Source organism: Homo sapiens, chromosome 1 (genome assembly GCF_000001405.40).
Source record: "Homo sapiens chromosome 1, GRCh38.p14 Primary Assembly".
NCBI lineage: Eukaryota > Metazoa > Chordata > Mammalia > Primates > Hominidae > Homo > Homo sapiens.
In genome coordinates, this window is record NC_000001.11 from 85,224,217 (window position 1) to 85,246,800 (window position 22,584).

Genomic DNA, 22,584 nt, shown 5'->3' on the forward strand with positions numbered 1-22,584 from the left:
ATGAATAGATTTAAATAATTGGTATATATAGCTTCCGTTTTGCTTTATAGAATACTAACATTGAAAAGTTAATTAATGAAATGCACATTAAGGAAGATAGTGTTTTAATAGTCTATATCATTCCCAATAACAAGCTTTGACTTGCTACTGTAGAACAGAATGACCAGGTGTTATTCTTCCCCACTTCAAAAGAAGAATGCTATTCTGATAAGGATTTTTGTTATTATTAAGTGCTAACTGCCTGAGATATTTTAAATATTTACATTCTTTGGTGAGTGGAAGTCCTACTCTCTCTTCTAATTACATTTTTCTGCAAGCATCCTGCCAAACAGCCTTCAAAACAACTTACATTTAAAGAGCTCTTTGCATTTTTTTTACCCAATCTGTCCCAATTTTTAGGAATAAAACAGCAAATCTTAGCTAGGAATTTACTTTTCAACTGTGAATGTCAAAGATTACACCAATTTTAAGGAGGTTTTTTTTTTAACTTTTACAAATTGAAAATAGTTCTCTGAACTATCAAGAAAAAACTAAAAATTGAAATCTGTTTCTTAATAGAAGCATTAAGATCATAAATCATGGCAGGCAGAGGGGAGAAGTCATCTCAAAAGGGTAAAGTGCAATCCCCTAAGAACAGAACACTTGAGCTCAGCCTAAAGGGCATATCTTCAAATTGCACATGTTGGTTTGTTATTTTAGAACTGCTCTTGAGAGCTGGGGTTATAGGAAAGGCCTTGTTTCCATTGGCTGCTATAAATAAAATGTGAACCATTATATCATCTCTTAAGAGAGTTTTATAGAAACACCAGGCATAGCTTCAAGTATAGCAATTTATACAAGTACCTCTCTAAATATATGTCTTGGAATCGTTGCTAAACCAGGTAATAAGGGACATTACCACTTTTGCTAAGGCATATTTGTGTGACAGATTAGACCCTGTTTAGGCACCTATTTACAGGTCAAAGCCTGCAGGCCTTGAAAAGAGAAAGCAGGGAGTTCACCCCGCCTGGCCTCCAGCTCCAAGGCAGCTGTGTAATCCCACTGAACCTGTTTGGCAGCTCATGCAGTAACTGCTGCAGCTTGCAGATAAGACCCTCTTGGAAAGCCTGATAGCCCTTGTCAATAATGAAGCCTCAAGAGCAACTGGAATTTTCTAAAACATCAAAACACATTATCTGATTTGTGCTGATACCCAGTCATTACAGAGAGCCAGTTGAGTAAGATTTTTGTTAAGGAAAGATAGATGTCTTTGCTTCTTTAAAGGTGTCATATGTAAATCTCAAATCTTACCTTGATCATAAGCAACCATTGTTTGCTTACCTGTTGCATCACTGAAGCAAAATAAGTCATACTAGCCACAAAAACAAGACTAACATTGGATTTCCACAGCTCTTTCGGCAGTGGGCTGGAAAGTGCTATTAAAACATGGCTGTTTCATAATTTCCCTATTGGGTAGGTATTACAAGATCTCATTTTTTACATGATCATGAATTTTATTGCCTCTAGAAAAGCAGAACTGGTCTAGGTTAGGGGGCAAATGAGTGCCCTACCTGCAACCCATAACAAAGTGAGGCTTTTAGCCAGAGGAGGAATGAAGCTGTTTAGCACTCTGGATCCAGGGCTACGTACTAAGGCGTCTCACTCAGGGAATATGGAATGTTCCTGAAATTCTGCTGGGTCTATCCTTTTTGCTTTTCAAAAACCTGGTCACTGAAGAGAGAATATATTTATTAAATCTAGATACCAATAAACCTCTCATTGTGAAATAAAAGAAAAGTTGCTGGAATACAATACTCAAAAAGACCATGAAGATGTTTCAGTCAGAGAAAGAAGAAAAAGACTGCGTGGGTAGACAATGACAAGAGGGCTGGAATGTAGAAGCCCAGGGGAGTCAGAAAAGAGAAAAATGTGTTTATGTGTCTGGCGAAGCTGTTTGAAACAGTGCCCTATCTCTCCGTGTCTAATCAGTCACAGTTTATGCTGATAGAGCTTTCACTGCTGTCTTTTCCCTTTAATACCACTTCATAGTGTAACAGGTAGAGTTCCTTTCACAGTTATGACTTAGCTTTTCTTTTGTAAACAGCTTTTCACTTATTTAAAAGAAGTTGTACATACATATGAATGGACTCACAAGGAAATAATGAGAAACACTATAAATTCTGTGTTGAGGCTGTAGAAAGCCAAAGTGCTCTAATAATAAGTTTGTTATAGTATAGTTGATAACCGAAAAGTTCAATCAGATTTAAAGAAGCAGAGTGAGGGAATAAACCATGAAATAGCAGGTCTCAGAATATGAGGTTGTGGGCCATTGAAGAAAAAAAATTAAAGGAATTCATAAAAAGTATTAAAAGAAAATAAACCTTTTAACAAATTTTGTTCTTTTGAATCACAGTGAAAAGTTTCTCTCTCAATAACAAAATCTTAGTCAGACGTAACTGACTAAGTTTGCTACGTTTTATTACCTAAGGTAGCAAACTGGAAAGAAACACTTAAAAGTACTTAAATATTTTTATTGTTTTAAATCAAGTTTAAATAAAGGAAGAGACGATTCAATATTGCCTAAGTATTTTCATGACATTTCAAGTTTCTTCCTAAATTAATATCTAATTTAACAAGAAGTTTATTGAGGATTTTCATTCACTTATTTATTTCCCCAATAATGAAAACGGCTTTATGCTTTTCTGACTATATAAGTAATGAATTTTGAAAAAATTCAAAAACAAGTTATAGACAGAAAGAAAGTAAAAATGTCCTGAAACCTCATCACCCTGTGATAACCACGTTAACATTTTGGCACCTGTCCTTTCACACATCACACATCTCCGTATACACATTTATATAAAGAGAGTAACATGCATGCTATTCTTATTATGGCCCTTAATTTTTAAAATATTGCTTGGTTGGTTGTTTTCTTCATCTTTGGGAATCAATATCAAAATATGGTATACATATGTTCTTTTCCTTCCCCATGCTTATGAAATCAGATACATATATACCCTGTGTGTCTGTGGGTAATAGGCATTCTATGCATTTTGCCTCTCTCATCTAAACTGTCATGGATTCCCCTCCAAAAACCCTGGATAGTTCTAAATCATTCTTTTTAATAGCTGCATAATTTTTCTATTGTATGCATGAAGCATAATTTATTTAATCGTTTTTCTACCTAACACTTAATTTTTAACTTTTTTTATCCCAGTGGCACACCAGGATGCAGTAAATATCTTTCTGTGTGTAGCTTTTCATACTAATGCTTTTACGTAAGTAGGAAAATTCTTCCTACGAATAGATTGCTGAGAAAAAGAGTATATATCTTTTTAATTTTAATTTCGCTTTCCAAAATACTATAACAATTCACATTTCTATTAGCAATGTGTGAAAATAGCCTTTTCCACATATTCCTGAAAGCAGTAGCTGTTATCCCTTTTTCATTTTTGCCAATATGATGTCTGTAGAGAGAAAGCTCACTTGTTTCTTCAATTTGCAGTTCCCTGACTCCCCGTGAGATTAATCGTTTTGGCATCTTTTTCTATGTTTAGAGGCCATCTTGGATTTGCTCTTACGTGAATTGCCTGTTTACGTCCTTTGACTGTTTTTTTAATTATGTGACCTTCTTAGCCTTTTGTGCAGTAAAACTCTTAACCTTTTATTTTTCACATGCACTGGAAATATTTTTCCTAATTTATTATTTGTCTTTTTAATTTGTCTGTGGTATTTTTTTCCACACTATAATATTTCTTATATTTGAGTAGTTCTCTCCTTTTACTTTTACAGCTTCTGGGTTTCCTGCTAAAAAATCCCTCCAACATCGGCTGGGCGCGGTGGCTCACGCCTGTAATCCCAGCTACTCAGGAGGCTGAGGCAGGAGAATCACTTGAACCTGGGAGGTGGAGGTTGCAGTGAGCCGAGATAGCACCATTGCACTCCAGCTGGGTGACAAGAGTGAAACTCCATCTAAAAAATAAAATCCCTCCAACATCTAGGGCAAAATTTCTTTTTTATATTTTCTTATATTGACAAATAAAAATGGTGTATATTTATCACATATGACATGATGTTTTGAAATATGTATACATTGTGGAATGGCTCAATTGAGCTAATTGACATATACATTATCTCACATATTTTTTATTTTTTGTGGTCAGAATATTTAAAATCTACTGTCTTAGTGATTCTCAAGAAAATAATGCAGTTATTTACTATAGTCACCATATTGTACAATAGATTTATTGAACGTATTCCTCCTATCTAACTGAAATTTTATAGGGCTAAATTTTCATCATTACCTTTTTTTTTTTTTTTTTTTTTTAAGAGACAGAGTCTCATTCTGCCACCCAGGAGTGCAGTGGTGTGATTGTAGCTCACTGTAGACTCGAGCTCCTGGGCTCAAGTAATCTTCTCATCTCAGCCTCCTGCGTAGCTGGGACTATAGTTATGCACCACCACACCCAGCTAATTTTTAAATTGTATTTTTGTAGAAATGCGGTCTCACTACGTTGCCCAGGCTGGTCTTGAATTCCTGGTCTCAAGCAGTCCTCCCACCTAAGCCTCCCAAAGTGCTGGGATTACAGGTATGAGCCACCACACCTGGCCCCATTGTTACATTTTTAACATTTATAACTCAAGTCCATCTGAAATTTGTTTATATAGTATAAGGTAAGAGTCTCACTTTTTAGTCTAACCTATAGAGAGAGGCATTTATCAGCTAAATATGTGAAGCAAATCATTCTTAACCACTGAATCGAAGTATAACATTTTGCATTTACTAAGTTACCGTATGTCCTGGGACCAGGGGTACATCCAAAATATAAACAATTAAAACAGTATGGGCACAGACCAGTCAGAACAGATGCTGTCTGTAAACCACTGCAACAGGGATATAGTGCAAACCAAGAGGATAGCAGTCCTGCCTTGAATCTATTTCTGGGTTCTCTATTCTGTTTCAATGACATACTTGTCTATTCCTATGCCAGGATCATATTGTTCTAATTTCAGTCACCTTTGAAGTATTTTAACATTTGAGCAAGCATGTCCCACACATTATTTTATTTCATAATTTCTCTGGCTGTTCTTGGACATTTATTTGTACACATGAATTATAAGTTATGTTTATCCAGCTCCCAAAAATAAACTATTCTTGTGTAAATAAACTGTGATAAAGTTATATCAGTTTTGGAAGATGTTACAGAAACTACAATTTCTCTTTTACTATTCTCCTCTTCTTCCTTCCCAGTAAATGTTTCGGCCAGTTGCAGTGGCTCATGCCTGTAATCTCAACACTTTGAGAGACTGAGGCAGGAAGATCACTTGAGGCCAGGAGTTTGAGACCAGACTGGGTAACATAGTGAGTTCCCATCTCGACAAAAGATTTCAAAAATAGCTGGGCATGGTGGTGCATGCCTCTAGTACAAGCTTTTCAAGAGGCCGAGGCAGAAAGATTGCTTGAGCCCAGGAGTTCAAGGCTGCAATGAGTTATAATTGCACCACTGAACTCCAGCCTGGATGACAGAGTGAGATCCTGTCACTTAAAAAAAAAAAAAAAATTTCGGCTGGGCACGTAGTCCACTAGAATAAAGGCTCCATTTCCTAGCCTTCTTTGCAGGTACCAGTATGCATGTGACTAAGTTCTAGCCAATGAGATGTTAGCAGAATTAATATATGTAACTTTCAGGAAGTGCTTTATAGTAATACTTTAGGGCAGGGCCACACAGCAGGAGGGAAGCAGTGAGCGAACAAAGCTTCATTTGTTTTTACAGCTGCTCCCCATCACTCACATTGCCACCTGAGCTCCACCTCCTGTCAGATCAGCGGTGGCATTAGATTTTTGTAGGAGTGTGAACCCTAATGTGAACTGTGCATGTGAGGGATCTAGGTGCGGCTCCTTATGAGAATCCAATGCCTGATGATCTGTCACTATCTCCCATCACCCCCGGATGCGGCCATCTAGTTGCAAGAAAACAAGCTCAGGGCTCCCACTGATTCTACATTATGGTGGTTTGTATAATTATTTCATTATATATTACAATGTAATAATAATAATAGAAATAAAGTGCACAATAAATGTAATGTAGTTGAATTATTCCGAAACCATACCCCCACCTTGGTTCATGGAAAAACCGAGGTGCTTTTGGCACCAGTGACTGGTTTCTTCCACAAAACCAGTCCCTGATGTCAAAAAGGTTGGGGAGTGCTGCTTTAGGGCACTGCCCAGACACCACTTCAGAGCTGCTGAACTCATTCCCTCAGCTGTTGGCTCTCAGCTGCATCCTGCTTCAAGAACTGCTGCAGGGAGCCACCTCGCCTAACATTGCTTCCTCTTCCCAGGGCTGCCCATCAACCCACCTCCAATGACTGGTCGGTCCAGTCCCCTTGCTTTAAGGGAAATCAATGCTAAAGAGCTACGACACTTCCAGAACTCCTCGAGGAACTGGCTGAGGCCTTTGTTGCAAATTTTGTGGTAGCTCTTTGCCCAATAACTCTTCCCCCAGATATTTATCCCAAGATCACTTCGCAGTAAACTTCCTGCTGTCAATCTCTGGCTCAGAGTCTATTCGCCTGGAACCCACCTTAGATGTGTCCTCAAAGGGAAAGGGCATGCTCTCTCCTCCTGCTGGCTGGGTGAAGACATGGCAGAGCATCAAGGGAAAAGAAGCCTGAGGCTCTGGCATTGCGGAGCACCTTACCAGCCCTTGAAGGGCCTACCCAGACTTTTACATAGAGAAAAATAAGCTTCTAGGTTGTTTAAACCACTGTTAGTATGAATATGCCCTAATATACAATAATTAACTTTTTTTGTGATATTAAATTCTCCCATCCTAGAACACGTTGAGATCTTTTTTTGTACCTCTCAAAAAAATCTTATCATTTTCTTCATATGGGTCTCATACTGTTCATGTTAAATTTATTTAGAAATAATTTATAATTATTTCACTACTGCAAATAATCACTACTTAGTGATTTTTTTTACTTCTTATTTTTGTTTTTATTTTCTTGAGACAGGGTCTTGCTCTGTCACCCAAGCTGAGTGCAGTGGCATGATCAGAGCTCATGGTTGTTTTCAGTATAGTGAAAAGAAATTATAGTGGTTTATTTGTTTTTACTTTTTGCTTCAGTTTTTATTTTAGATACAGGGAGTACATCTGGAAATGTGTTACATGGGTATGTTGCACTCAAGTAGTGAGCATAGTACCCAATAGGTAGTTTTTCAATTCAGTCCCTTATCTTTTGTTCCCATGTTTATGTCCATGGATGCTCGATGTTTAGCTCCCACTTATAAGAAAGAACAATGCAGTATTTGGTTTTCTGTTTCTGTGTTAATTCTCTTAGGCGTATGGCCACCAGCTCCATCCATGCTGCTGCAAAGGACATCATTTCCTTCTTTCTTATGACTGCATAGTATTCCATGATGTATATGTACCACATTTTCTTTATCCAGTCCATCACTGATGGACACCTACGTTGATTCCATGTCTTTGATATTTTGAATAGTGCAGCAATGAACATATAAGCGTATGTGTCTTTTTGGTAAAATGATCTATTTCCCTTTGGGTATATACCCAGTAATGGGATTGCTGGGTCAAATGGATCTCTGTTTAAAGTTCTTTGAGAAATCTCCAAACTGCTTTTCACAGTGGCTGAACTAATTTACATCCCAACAGTGTTAAGAATTCCCTTTTCTCTGCAGCCTTGCCAGCATCCATTGTTTTTTGTTTTTGTTTGTTTGTTTGTTTTGAGACAGTCTCGCTCTGTCACCCAGGTTGGAGTGCAGTGGTGCGATCTCAGCTCATGGCAACCTCCATCTCCCGGTTTCAAGCTATTCTCCTGCCTCAGGCTCCTGAGTAGCTGGGACTACAGGCATGTGCCAACATGACCGGCTAATTTTTTTTTGTATTTTTAGTAAAGATGGGGTTTCACCATGTTGGTCAGGCTGGTCTCAAACTCCTGACCTCAACTGATCTGCCTACCTTGGCCTCCCAAAGTGCTGGGATTACAGGCGTGAGCCACTGCACCTGACCTGTTTTTTTGACTTTTTAATAATGGCCATTCTGAGTGGTGTGAGGTGATATCTCACTGTGGCTTTGATTTGCATTTCTCTGATGATTAATGATGATGAACATTTATTCATATGCTTGTTAACCACATGTATGTCTTCTACTGAAAAGTGTTCATGTCCTTTGCCTATTTTTTAATAGGGCTGTTTTTTGCTTGTTGATTTAAGTTCCTTATAGATTCTGGATGTTGGACCTGTGTCACATGCATAGTTTGCAAATATTTTCTCCCATTCTGTAGATTGTCTGTTTACTTGTTAGTTTCTTTTGCTGTGCATAAGCTCTTTAGTTTCATTAGTTCCCACTGTCAATTTTTGATTTTGTCTCAATTGCTTCTGGGGACTTAGCCAAAAATTCTTTGTCCAGGCTCATGTCAAGAAGGGTATTTCCTAGGTTTTCTTTTAGGGATTTTATAGTTTAAAGTCTTACATTTAAATCTTTAATCCATCTTGGGTTAATTTTTGTATATGGTGAAAGGTAAGGGTCCGGTTTCATTCGACGTATGGCTAGCCAGTTAGCCCAGTGCTATTTATTAAATAGAGTGTCCTTTCCCCATTGCTTGTTTTTGTAGACATTGTCAAAGATCAGATGATTGTAGGTGTGCAGCTCTATTTCTGGACTCTCTATTCTGTTCTAGTGGTCTATGTGTCTGTCTTTGTACCAGTACAACGCTGTTTTAGTTACTATATCCTTGTAGTATATAGTTCGAAGTCAGGTAGTGTGATGCCTCTGGCTTTGTTCTTTTTGCTTAGGATTGCTTTGGCTATTCAGGCTCTGTTTTTTCCATGTGAATTTTAGAATAGATATTTCTAATTTAGTGAAGAATAACATTGGTAGTTTGATAAGAGTAGCATTGAATCTGTAAATTGCTTTGGGCAGTATGGTCATTTTCATGATACTGATTCTTCCAATACATGAGCATGGAATGTTTTTCCATTTATTTGTGTCATCTCTGATTTCTTTCAGAAGTGTTTTGTAGTTCTTCTTCTAGACAACATATTTTACCTACTAGGTTAGCTCTGTTCGTAGATATTTCATTTCCTCTGTGGCTATTGTAAATGGGATTGTGTGTTTTATTTGACTCAGCCTGGACATTATTGGTGTATAGAAATACTACTGATTTTTTCATATTGATTTTATATCCTAAAATCTTACTAAAATCATTTATCAGTTCTAGTAGCCTTTTGGTGGAGTGCTTAAGGTTTTCTAGGTATGGAATCATATCATCAGCAAAGAGAGATAGTTTGACTTCTTTTCCTGTGTGGATGCCTTTTCTTTCTTTCTCTTGCTTGACTGCTCTTGCTAGGACTTCCGGTACTATGTTGAATAGGAATGGTGAGAATGGGTATTTTTGTCTTGTTCCAGTTCTCACAGGGAAGCGTTCCAGCTTTTGCCCATTTTGTATGATGTTGGCTATGGGTTTGTCAATGATGGCTCTTATTATTTTGAGGTATGTTCCTTTGAGGCCTAGTTCGTTGATGGTTTTTATCATGAAGAGATGTAGAATTTTACTGAAAGCTTTTTCTGCATCTATTGAGATGACTGTATGGTTTTTGTTTTTAATTATATTTATGCAATGAATCACATTTATTGATTCACGTATGTTGAACCAGCCTTGCATCCCAGAAATGAAGCCTATTTGATTGTCCTGTATTAATTTTTTTTTTTTGAGACGAGATCTTGCTCTGTAGTTCAGGGGTGCAATTTCAACTCACTACAACTTCCACCTCCCAGGCTCAAGTGATTCTCTCACCTAAGCATCCGAGTAGCTGGGACTACAGGCACATGCCACCATGCTTGGCTAATTTTTAAATCTGTTGTAGAGATGAGGTCTTATTATATTGCCCAGACTGGTCTTGAACTCCTGGACTCAAGCAATCCTCCCAAAGTCTGGGATTACTGGCATGAGCCACCACTTCTGGCCTGTATTAACTTTTTGATGGGCTGCTGGATTTGGTTTGCTAGTATTTTGTTAAAGATTTTTGCATCTGTGTTCATTAGGGATATTAGCCTGAAGTTTCCTTTAGAAATTATAGTTCTTTACAGAGTGTACTGAGATGATTTGTTTTTCTTTCTTTTTTTTTTAAGGGACAGAGTCTCCCTATGTTGTCCAGGCTGCAGTGCAGTGGCTATTCACAGGCAGGATCATAGCACACTGCAGCCTTGAGCTCATGGGCTCAAACAACCCTCTTGCCTCAGCCTCCTGAGTAGCTGGGACTATAGGCATGTGCCACTGTGCCTGACAAGATGACTTTTTTTTGAGATGGAGTCTCGCTCTGTCACTCCAGGCTGGAGTGCAGTGGTGCAACCTCGGCTCACTCCACTTCTGGATTCAAGCAATTCTCCTGCCTTGGCCTCCCGAGTAGCTGGGATTACAGGTGTGCACCACCATGCCCAGCTAATTTTTGTATTTTTAGTAGAGACAGGGTTTTGCCATGTTGGTCAGGCTGGTCTTGACTCCTACCCTCAAGTGATCCACCTGTCTCAGCCTTCCAAAGTGCTGGGATTACAGGCATGAGCCACCACATCCAGCCAATTGTTTAATTCATATTTATTGCATAGTGGTTAAAGACTACTCTAACTCTGACTCTACAGTCCGACTGCCTAGGTTTGAATCCTGACTTCACTTCTTACTTTGGGTGAGTTTCTTAGTTTCTCTGCCCCTCAGTTTCCTCATTTGCAAAATGGTTTGATGTACCTCACTTATAGAGTTGTCACAAGGTGTTAAAAAGATAAACTTAGATACATTAAAAATATAAAGCACTTGTTTGAGCATTCAATGATTCACGAATTGGGCAGCACAAGCAGTTTAGCACTCCACTGGGTGGGGGGTGGTGAGAAAGGAAACTTTTATAAGGTGTTCATGAAAGCAAAACAAAATGTATTTGGGGCTGTGCACAGTGGCTCACACTTGTAATCCCAGCCCTCTGGGAGGCCGAGGTGGGAGGATTGTTTAAGCCCAGGAGTTCAAGAGCAGCCTGGGCAACATAAGAAGACCTTGTCTCAACAACAACAACAACAACAACTACAACAACAACAACAAGTATACATACATAAAAATAGACATCTATGTATATATGTATGTGTATATATGTATTTGGTTAAAATAGAATGTCTCTGGTTAGAGGTTAGTTAGGGGTTTCTGATTAGTCAAGCTTAGGTTGTTGTTTTGATTTTTTGCTTTTTGTTTTGGAGATGGAGTCTCACTCTGTCACCTAGGCTGATATGCAGTGGAACGATCTCAGCTCGCTCCAACCTCTGCCTCCCGGGTTCAAGCGATTCTCCTGCCTCAGCCTCAGGAGCAGCTGGGATTACAGGCATGCACCACCATGCTCAGCTAATTTTTGTATTTTTAGTAGAAGCGGGTTTTCACCATGTTGGCCAGGCTAATCTCGAACTCCTGACTGCAAGTAATCCACCCACCTCAAAGCTTAGGTTTTTTATACTGTTTGCATGGGCTTTGGTTTGCTTATGTAGCAACCCAGGGTACTGGAGTCATCTCAACCTAATGGTCTCCCAATTAAATTTATTTTTTAAAAAGGATTAAGTGAATTTATACATATAAAGCTCTTAGAACATACCTGATACATAGTAAGTCCTATATAACATTAGCTATTATTATGATTTTTGTCATGAAAATTTCCAGCAAGGGCCCATCATAATAGACAGATGGTGAGTACTTTGTCCTTCAAGTCAATTCAAAGGCTTACATATTCTGAAATTATGGTAACTTAGTCATTACTCATTGTATTAGAAAAGGACAGGTAATGTGATCGTATATTGAATGTCAATACAACAAAGGTTTATTTCTCATTCCACATGTCCAGTTTGAATTACTGGGGGTTGGGAGGTGGACCTGCTCCAGTTAGTCATTCAAGGACCCAGGTGAATGGGGGCTCCCAGTGGCTTCAAGGGGAGAAAAATCAGGGAGAATTCACATCCATTCTGAAATGCTTTGCACCAGATGTCATCTACGTTTCTTTGACTTACTGTCCCTTGATGAGAACTGGTCATGAGGCCTTAGCTTATTGCAAAGGGGCTGGGAAGCATGGTTTTCCTGTATTCCCAGGAAAGAGAGGAGAACCAGATATATGCAAGGAGTGACGTATCTGTCACGTCTATTCCACTCTTCACGGTGATTTCAATCTGTTGTGATGTTTTTTATCCAGTCATTCTCCAAAATGATGATATAAAGCATATAAACAGAATTGGACAAAAGTTGTCCATACAAAGAGTATTACAGTTGGGGATGACATTTTTGACAAAGGTCGTATCAACAATAACAATGACAGTTATAAAAATAACTATAACTTATTGAGAACTTATTGTTAGTGAAAGACTTTTCCTGGATTATCTCATGCTGAGAAATTATTCCTAGTATTATTTGAATGTTATAGATAAGGAAATGAGGCTCAGATAGCTTAAGCAATTGGCCCAAGGTCACAGGTCGTAAGGAACAGGGGCAGGAACTGAATTCAAGAGGGCTGAACCCAAGATCCAGGTCTTACCCACTGTGGCACAGAGTAGCAAATGTATCACAGCTGTGACCAGTGACATGCTGTATAAACAAGCTATGATTCGAAGCCTCTCTAACCCTTTACAGTGACAATATCATGCTTTGATTCACATAAGTTGGTACTAGAAAGCTTCTTAGAGATCATCTAGTACAACTCTTTCTATTTTCTTCAAAAGAAATTATGTTAGGATGAAGTTAAGTCATACCACCTGGAAAAGAAGTTTCTTTTTCCTCTATATCTCAGTTTTAGTGTGAATGGTCTAGGTCTTCAGGGTAAATTTGCTCCTCATGATCACTCAAGGACTGAGATTCCTTTTAGGAAATTGCTGTGCCCTCTCATAGGGCTTTGTCATCAAAGCGAGGCCACCATGTCCAAGTTCCAGCCAGCAAGAAGCGGGAAGAGAGCACGCACGAGGTACATCTAGGCTCAGCCTTCCAAAACCTTAATGAAAACAGAAGGGGAAAGGAGAAAGAAGCCCCAGAGGGCAGGAATAAATGGTGAAAAGAGAACATGACATTCCTTTGTTTTTGTGGTAGGAGGTGATATTATGGGCTGAAAGTAGAGAATTTTATCAGCCGGGGGTTAAAAAATATACACCAGAGAACAAAACTGCTTCATGTCTTTTCCCTCTTTTTTCTTTCTGTCCACCTCCTCTTATTACAAGTGTACTTACGAGGAAGGGAAAGGCTGGTGCATGTCAGTGAGCCAGCACCTCATCCCTCCAAAGAAAAGGAGCACTGAAAAGTGGGACGTGCTTTTATCCTGAAATGGTTAACAGGGATGCTGGGACTGAGGTTTTTCTGGTTAATGGAACTTTCAATTAAGCCATTGATCAGAAAATTATTTTGCTTGTTTTGTATCTTTAAGTAAATTTTTAAAAGTAAGTGATGCAGTCACATTGTTTAGAAATGAAAATGATATTAAAAGATATACACAGAGATGAGTATCAGAGGAACACACCCCTGTTCCCAATCCTGTTGTGAAAATGCACTGGTCAGTTAAGGAGATTATTTTATTCTGGCTACTGTAATAGTGAGAATGTTTATCAACAAGGAATGTTTCTAAGAGAAGGCAAGGGGCAGATAAGCAAGGGCGTCACCATGCATGGGTCTCATGGGATTCCTGAGAAGGACAGAGTTGGATCTTACCTCAGACAGCAGGTGCTCTTTGCTGGTTCCTGGCACACAAAGAATTGGGTATTTCTTTTTTTTGATTATTATTTTAGATGGAGTCTCTCTCTGTCACCCAGGCTGGAGTGCAGTGGTGCGATCTCGGCTCACTGCAACCTCCACCTCCCAGGTTCAAGCAATTCTCCTGCCTCAGCCTCCCGAGTAGCTGAAACTACAGGCGCCCACCACTACACCTGGCTAATTTTTGGATTTTTAGTAGAGACAGGGTTTCACCATATTGGCCAGGCTGGTCTCGAACTCCTGATCTCAGGTGATCTGCCTGCCTCAGTCTCCCAAAGTGTTGGGATTACAGGTGTAAGCCACCTTGCCCAGTGGGTTGGGAATTTCTTAACCTTCACTGTTTTCTGGAAGCACAGGGCTTAAAGTTTGACATTGTTAGTGTCTACCCCAAACTCCTCCTGCCCTCTATATGTGAATATTTTTATTGGTTTCTTACATGGTGACAGTATTTCCTAATACAAATGCAAGTAAGTATGAATATATATTCTTATCTTCCCCTTTCTTCCACAAAGAGTAGTATAAGTAAATATATCTTCTCCAAATTTCTTATTTCATTTTATTGTATATCCTGGATATCTTTCCACAATCATATGGAGAGTTTTTTATTTTCCTCATTTTCCCCACTGCGTAATGTTCCATTGTACCACAGTTATTTAACCAGTTCCCTATGACACTTGAATTACTTCTAACATTTTGCTATTATAAACAATGTTTCAGTTAATAACTAGTACATATATCGTACATGGACAGGCATAGCTCCAGGATACATTCCCAGAAGTGAGACTGGTGGGTCAAAGAGTCAATATATTTGTAATTTCTGTAAATATTGTCAAATTGCTCTCTATATGGGTTGGACTATTTTGTCTTCCTACCCGCATTGTAAGGGTGTGCTGTGTTCCCGCTGCCTTACCAACAGAGTGTGTTGTTAAGTGGAATTTTTCTAATCCCCATTTGTTAAGAAATACCATTTACAAGTAGTTTTAATTTGCACTTCTCATAAAAATATATATTTGATTCAACTATTGTGAAAAATAACTTAGAAACTAGCCAGGTGCAGTGGCTCATGCCTATAAGAGATCCCTCAGGGGATCCTCCTGCCTTGGCTTCCCAGAGTACCAAGACAGGAGGATCTCTTGAGGCCAGGAGTTCAAGACCAGCCTGGGCAACATAGCAAGACTCTGTCAGTACAAAAAAAAAAAAAAAAAACAATTAGGCAGGTGTAGTGGTGCACCTGTAGTCCCAGCTACTCTGGAGACTGAGGTAGTAGGATCACTTAAGCCCAGAAATTCGAGGCTGTAGTGAGCCATGACCATGCCACTGAACTCCAGGCTGGGTGACAGAGCAACAGAGTAACACATCGTCTCTAAAAAAAGAGAGAAAGAAAGAAAATACACTCTACAGAAGACATTAACCCTTTGAATAATCAATGATCAGTTTCTCATCCCCACCAGTGCAAGCCCAAGTGAGCACTGCCATGCCACAGGAAAGAGTATTATCACGGTGGAGAGCAGCGTGTCTCAGAGTTCATGACGCAAATTTTACCAAGTTTGAGACACTGGGACACTTTACCAAGAAGCTAAAGAGGCTTCTTTATTTAATGACTCCTCAAAGCCTTTAAAACTTTTCTTTTTTTTTTTTAATGGATCGCTAGGAGGGGAGAATTTTGGACTTTAGTGGATCCCTTTTCTCAGAGAGTCTTCCATAGTTTCCTTGGAACACATTTTGGGAAACATTGCTGGAGAAGGTTTAGGAGGTTGAGTTGAATTTATACCCAGTTAAAGGCCAACCCTGAGAAGTCATTTTATTTAAGATAAAATCCCTACTGTTTTCTTATAACTTCTTTTTTTCTAATAATAGAGAAAAGGGGAGGATCTTGGTTAATGGAAGGTTTTTATTAGTTGGATTACCTGAGGTACAGGAGTCAGAATCCAGCCTTGGTTAGCGTCCCTCAGGGCCAGCCCAAGGAAATGAAGACATTGGCAAACTGCTGTGTCTTAGGCCTCTTTACTCCTTGGCTGGTTTGCTTAGTGCCCCCATCACAAACAAGCTGGCAGGGAAAGATCTGAAAACTCATTTGCTCTAAGATGGTGTTTGTTCATTTGCTCAGTTGAACAAATTGTTACTTATTGAACAATTTCTAAATTTATTGCTTTGTGCTGGGTCCCTGAGGTGGTCCCAGAAGAAATGTAAGGCTCCAGTGCACTCTCCAGCAGGCCCTGATCTCCTTAGGAGGGTAAAATATGCCCAGCAGTGAGCTAACAATGTAAGTGTGATTAAGTGGCAAGATGAGACTTAGGATAATGTTACTTCTCCCGGGTAGCTCCTCTCTTGGGAGTCTGCTTTTTAACCCTCTGGTTAATGCTTTATTGGGAGCTCTAGTTGTGGAATTTCCTAAATTCCACAAGCCAAGATAAGGAGGTATTTTCCTTCTTTTCTTTTTTGGTGAGCAGTTGTTCTCTTGTAGTTGGTTCTGGATGACTCCCACAGTGAGGCCAGCCAGCTGCTTTTGGGCATCAGAGAGGGCTGCCTGCTGGGCCACCATGGGTAATGCTTCTGTAGCCTTTAGCTCCACCTAAGGTGTATCTCTGCTAATTGCAATAATCTTGTCAATAATATACAAATGAGGGAGAAAAGGCCTAGTCTACTTTATTTTTTTGTCCCAGTTCTCTTTTCACCTCCAAATTTGTCTTTAGTACATTGTGGCCACAAATTCCTTTGGCAGAAGGTAAAATAAGTAGGTTCTCAATTTGAGCACTGATGAGTAGTTTCTTGGAGCAGTCTAAAAAGAAATGTGGTTTTTGACAGCAGCTAAAAAGAGGACATATTAGAAATGCCAAATTGCTGTTATAAAGAACTGGCTTCTGGCAAGGGACTGAACAATTCAGACTTCAAGGATATGTAGACATGTTTTGAAAGTTCTTGTTTAAATATGATCTCAGGAAGTTAGAAGCAGGAAGTCAAGCCAACTAGATAAACTTTAAATGCATACGACTTCATCTTGAAATCTTACTCACAAAAAGTAGTTTTATAATAAAATACTGTGGCCAAATGCTTATTTACAAAGATGTTTGTCTCAACATTATTTATAGTGGTGAAAAATTTGAAAACCATTTCAATGTCCAGTGGATAAATGGCTGATTAAATAAACTCAAACAGGCATAAAAATTATGAAAAACAAAGTCTCATTCTGTCACTGATATAGTTTGGATATTTATCCCCCCCAAATCTCATATTGAAATATAATCCCCAGTGCTGGAGGTGGGGCCTGATGGGAGGTGATTGGATCATGAAGGGGAATTTTTCATGAATCGTTTAGTACCATCCCCTTGGTGCTGTCCTCATGATAGTGAATGAGTTATTGTGAGATCTGGTTGTTTAAAAGTGTGCGGTACCTTCCCCCACTCCTCTCTCTTGCTCCTGCTCTTGCCATGTGACATGCCCGCTCCCACTTTGCCTTCTGCCATGATTATGGGCTTCCCCAGGCCTCCCCAAAAGCCAGGCAGATGCCAGCACCATGCTTCCTGTAAAGCCTAGAGAACCGTGAACCAATTAAACCTCTTCTTTGTAAATTACCCAATCTCAGGTATTTCTTTTTTTCTTTTTTTTTTTTTTTTTTTTGAGACGGAGTCTCGCTCTGTCGCCCAGACTGGAGTGCAGTGGCGCCATCTCGGCTCACTGCAAGCTCCGCCTCCCGGGTTCACGCCATTCTCCTGCCTCAGCCTCCCGAGTAGCTGGGACTACAGGCATGTGCCACCATGCCCGGCTAATTTTTTGTATTTTTCAGTAGAGATGGGGTTTCACCATGTTAGCCAGGATGGTCTCGATCTCCTGACCTCGTGATCCACTCGCCTCGGCCTCCCACAGTGCTGGGATTACAGGCGTGAGCCACCGTGCCCGGCCAGGTATTTCTTTATAGCAACAAAAAAAGGCCTAACACAGTCACCCAGCTGGAGTGCAATGGTACAGTCATAGCTCACTGTACCCTCGAAGTCCTAGGCTCAAGTGATTCTCTCACATTGGCCTCCTAAGTAGCTGGGACTACAGGCATGCACTATAACACCTGGCTAATTTTGTGTGTGTCTGTGACGGAGTCTCGCTCTGTCGCCAGGCTGGAGTGCGGTGGCGTGATCTCGGCTCGCTGCAACCTCCGACTCCCTGATTCAAGCTATTCTGTCTCAGCCTCCCTAGTAGCTGGGATTACAGGCATGCGCCACCATGGCCGGCTAATTTTTTGTATTTTCAGTAGTGACGGGGTTTCACCATGTTGGCCAACACCTGGCTAATTTTTTCATTTTTTTGTAGAGATGGACTCTCACTATGTTGCCCAGGCTGGTCTTGAACTCCTGGCCTCAAGGGGTCTTCTTGCCTCAACCTCCCAAGTACTAGGATTACAGGTGTGAGCCATCGTGGCTGGCCAAAAATTGGGTTTTTAAAGAATTCTCTCTTTTTTTTTTTTTTGAGGTGGAGTCTCACTCTCTTGCCCAGGCTGCAGTGAAATGGCACAATCTCGGCTCACTGCAACCTCCGTCTCCCAGGTTCAAGTGATTCTTCTGCCTCAGCCTCCCGCCTAGTTGGGATTACAGGCACCTGCCATCATGCCCGGCTAATTTTTGTACTTTTGTGGAGACGGGGTTTCACCATGTTGGCCAGGCTGGTCTCGAACTCCTGACCTCAGGTGATCCGCCGGCCTGGGCCTCCTAAAGTGCTGGGATTACAGGCGTGAGCTGCCACGCCCGGCCAAGAATTCTTTTTTTTTTTCTTTTTGAGACGGAGTCTCACTCTGTCGCCAGGCTGGAGTGCAGTGGTGCAATCTCAGCTCACTGCAATCTCCGCCCCCTGGGTTCAAGCGATTCCCCTGCCTCAGCCTCCCGAGTAGCTAGGACTACAAGCGGGTACCACCATGCCCGGCTAATTTTTTGTATTTTAATAGAGACAGGGTTTCACCATGTTGGCCAGGATGGTCTTGATTTCCTGACCTCGTGATCCACCCACCTCTGCCTCCCAAAGTGCCGGGATTGCAGACATAAGCCACTGCTCCTGGCCAGGAATTCTTAATTCTTGTCTATATTGTTTAGAATATATATATATGTGCATAGAAAAAAACACTGTAAGAAAATACTATTAACATGTTAACAGTGGATTTCTCTACTAATAATGATTTCTATTTTTAAATTTCTTTTTCTTCCAGAACTTCTATAGTAAGAATGTATCTCATCTTCATAATCAGAAAAAATTTTAATGAGTATTACTTTTAAAAATAATTTATATCTAACTATATAACATTAATGTTATGAGAATTAAAACAATGTAGCTTAAGTAGAACGAATTGTTATTGTGTTTTTGTTGTAAACATTGTTCCTGTCCTTGAAAAGGCTAAGTATATTTGTAGTAATAAAACCATGTAGAGTTTTTTTTTTCTGTGCTTCTATGACATATGGCTTACTGTTAGTATTTCTGTGAGGCAATTGAAAAGCTGTTCTCCATCATTGTTTACCAAATTTTCACAAATCCCTCTTGGAAAAACTAGTTGAAATCATGGTAATGCTAAGAAACCCTAATCCTCCTCCACCTACTCTCCTGGGCTTAAAAAAACATTCAATGCTAGGCTGCATGATCTAAAATAAACCTCCAGGGCAAAAGATTAAATTAGGGACTGGTTTGCTGCCCAGCAAGCCTGACATAGGATAGTCTTCTTACTGTTGCAATGAAACAAAAGTGGAAAAAGAATAGAAAAACCTAAGCAGTTCATAATTAGCCAGAGCAATTGGATGAATTCAGCAACTTCTATGTAAGTTAGAAACACACAAGACATTGTCCTATTATCCAGAAAAAGCCACTTTACTGTCTTAAGATTTTAAGTAAACATTTCCAAGTTGGTGCCAGAGGCATTAAAGAAATGGCAAACCTGTTTCTTTAAAATAGCATCAAAATCTTTTTTACATATTGAGCAGCAAAGCTGGAGGGGCCTCTTTCATGTATAGCAGCAAATTCCAGTGCTTCATTCAGAATTAAATCGTTTACCTCAGGGTTCCAGACAGTCTGGAACCCCAAAGTAAGCCCTTTTCCCAGGTGGCAGCTTGGTGTAGAGAATAGAGAGTTTGAAAACTCAAAAGCACCCGACAAATATAAGGGCTTATTATCTTTCTTCCCCAACTATGGAGCAGTCAAGAAAAATTAACCCTCTCATTTGTTACCCTCAATAACAGGGTTTAACTGATCTGTAGCCACGGATGGCTCAGATAATTGCCCTAATTAGTTTGGCACGAAAAGAGGTTGGGGTGGGGGATTTGGAGCTCAAATAATTAAGGCAAAATAAAAAGAAAAGAAAAAAGAGCTTATGCCTTACAGATTTGACATATGGATTCCAGATGTTATGGAAGACATTTTACTGCTAAGGCTTTTAGGCCACTTTTTTGTGGTTAAGGACAGGATTGGAAGGGAAGGCCTCAAGGCAGAACAGCCTGAAAAAGGAGGGAAAGATCCTACTGATCATTACTGAACACCTCAGGGTGTATGTATGTGTACCGGTATATATCTCCAAACTGAAAACTAGCAGCAGGGTCTTAAAATGCCCCTAGACTGGGGGTGTTGGGGGAAGGCCTTGGAGGAGTGATTTCTGAGCTGGCTTGTTTGGAGCTTTGCTGGCAGATAAGTCACCTCCTCAGTTGGAAGTGATTGCTCTGTTAGTTCACTGCAGTTTCCCTCAGGAATTCTAAATTTAAAATGTGAATGCAAACTTTCTAGCATGCCATGCCAGGGAAGGTTGCTAGGATCTGGGTCCCATTTAGAAACAGAGACAGGTAATTATACCAGGAAAAGGGCTACACTTTTACCTCAATGCCATGCACCAAAACCTCTGTTTCTTCCTTTCAGAAAATGGTAAACAAGGGAAAGAAAGAGGAGTTCCAGACCCTGCATACCAAAATATTACAGACACACAGGAAATGACTCTTCAAATCCAGGCTGTAAACCTGTCATTTCGTGGGCTTGTCTGTGGGCCTAGAAAAGCGAGACAAAGATCACACCGAAGACATTACTGTTTGGGGCTGGCTGTACTGGAGGACCTCTGGAGGCCTTTCCATGCCAGGTGCTATGATTCTAAACTCAAGTCATAAAATGAAATGTTAGAGGAAAGCCAATGAAATTTGAGGCAGAACTTGTGGCTTAAAGCTCATTTTGCTTTAAAAAATGTAGACTTTGAAAAACTGTTCTTTACAAGCAACAAAAATTTTTTAAAGAAACTGAAAAGCTAAAAAATATTTTTTGGGGGGAGGGAGTAATATTCTCAGCCCTATTACTATCTTTTAAGGCTTTCGATTACAGATACTCCAAACATGTAATAAGTTACTAAGTCCTTAAAATATGTATTAATCTTCCTAAAAGATTTGCATATTGACTTTAATCCACGTAAAAGATGTTTCTGGTGTATTTAACCAATGCTGCTCGTCTGTTTAGTGAAATGGTTTTGGATCCATTAATTCTCCAAATATTTGTATTCTGAGTGCCTTCTAAGGATAAGACATTCTTTGAATCAAACACACACAAAGAACTAAGCCAATCTAATGGTTAATGCAGTCATTCCTCCCTCCTCCAGCTTAATGTACTGGCCCCGGAGCCAGAATGCCTGGGTTTCCCAGCTCCAGTGCCTTGAACAAATTACATAACCTCTCTGTACCAGTTCTCTCCCCTGAAAAGTAGGGTTAGTAATAGCACCTACCTCATCAAACTAAATGACTCAATACATGTAAAGCATGTAGAAAAATGCCTGGCACATAGCAAGCATTCAATAAATGTTGGCTATTCATTTTGTGCCCAGTATGAGGGAAAGCAATGTAGAGGTGGATATGGAGATAAATAAAACAAAGTGCATTAAAGAGGGAATATTTCAACTGGTTCTTGGAGAAAATACGGAGTTCACAAGGAAGACAAAAAAGGGCCAAGTCAAGCAAATGGTGTGAGTGAAGGCACAGAACCACGAAACTAAATAGCATATCTGGGGAATTGTAAATGATTCATTAGAGCTAGATTAAGAGGCATGTGACATATGCTGCCTCCATCCAAAAGCAAAGATTTTAAAAAAGAGAGAGAAAAAATAGAGGCACATGGGAATGAGGGAGTAGAAACCACAGGATTTACTGACCAAACCTATGTGATAGGAAGTGAGGTAGAGCAGGTTTCTGGGTTTATGGTGATGCCATTAATCAGAAACAAAATGTGGTACATGGTGTGACCTTTGACACAATGTGTTTGGACATACAGTATGGGAGGGACCTTTAAGAACCAAGTGGAGATGTACAATTGGATACACAAATCTAGGCTTTATAAGAGCACTCTGGCAAGCCATACAGTATAGGGGATCATCAAAGTGTTACTGATTGTAGTAGCCATGAACTTGGTTGAAATCTTCAAGAACAAGGGTAGAGAATGAGAAGAATAACAATGTAGACTACACTGGCAACCAGGGGCAGTTGGAAGAGAAGGAACCAGAGAAAATAGAACCAGAATAGCATGGAGCCCTGGAAGAAACCAAAAGAGTAAATCAGTTTTGCACTAATTGATGGTTTTAGTGGAAAAATGACAGAAAACCCAATTCAAACTTGTTTACATTGTTAATAAGACATATTGGCCCATATAACTGAAAACACAAGCCTCTGGATGGGGGGATAGCATTATACCAAGACAAATGAGAATCAACCCTAAGCCAGGGGTGAGGAATTCAGCTTACTTGCAACATTTAGCAGTCATATTGAGTGCCTACTATGTGCCAGGCATTGTTCTAGTCAATGAACAAAACAGGCAAAAAGTCCCTTGTCTGTGGACAGAACACACAAA

The 22,584-nt window shown here is 39.8% G+C and overlaps 1 long non-coding RNA gene across 1 annotated transcript, besides 3 other annotated features; it reads left to right on the forward strand.

The window, feature by feature from the left end:
• Positions 908-1,068: a silencer, noted in NCBI's record as "fragment chr1:85690807-85690967 (GRCh37/hg19 assembly coordinates)". NCBI's record gives its function as "represses an EF-1alpha promoter that drives an FKBP-Casp9 reporter gene in an ReSE screen in HepG2 liver carcinoma cells {active_cell/tissue: HepG2}" and the evidence as "EXISTENCE:reporter gene assay evidence [ECO:0000049][PMID:32094911]".
• LOC105378821 (uncharacterized) lies at positions 1,363-21,907 on the forward strand. The gene is made up of 3 exons (XR_947548.3): positions 1,363-1,452; positions 4,476-4,568; positions 20,626-21,907. It is a non-coding gene; the product is annotated as an uncharacterized LOC105378821 (long non-coding RNA).
• Positions 16,281-16,350: a silencer, noted in NCBI's record as "silent region_1032". NCBI's record gives its function as "represses an Ori minimal core promoter by ATAC-STARR-seq in GM12878 lymphoblastoid cells {active_cell/tissue: GM12878}" and the evidence as "EXISTENCE:reporter gene assay evidence [ECO:0000049][PMID:35858748]".
• Positions 20,570-20,864: an enhancer, noted in NCBI's record as "tiled region #4548; K562 Activating DNase matched - State 5:Enh". NCBI's record gives its function as "activates a minimal TATA promoter and a strong SV40 promoter by Sharpr-MPRA in K562 cells {active_cell/tissue: K562}" and the evidence as "EXISTENCE:reporter gene assay evidence [ECO:0000049][PMID:27701403]".
• Positions 21,908-22,584: the final 677 nt, after the last annotated feature.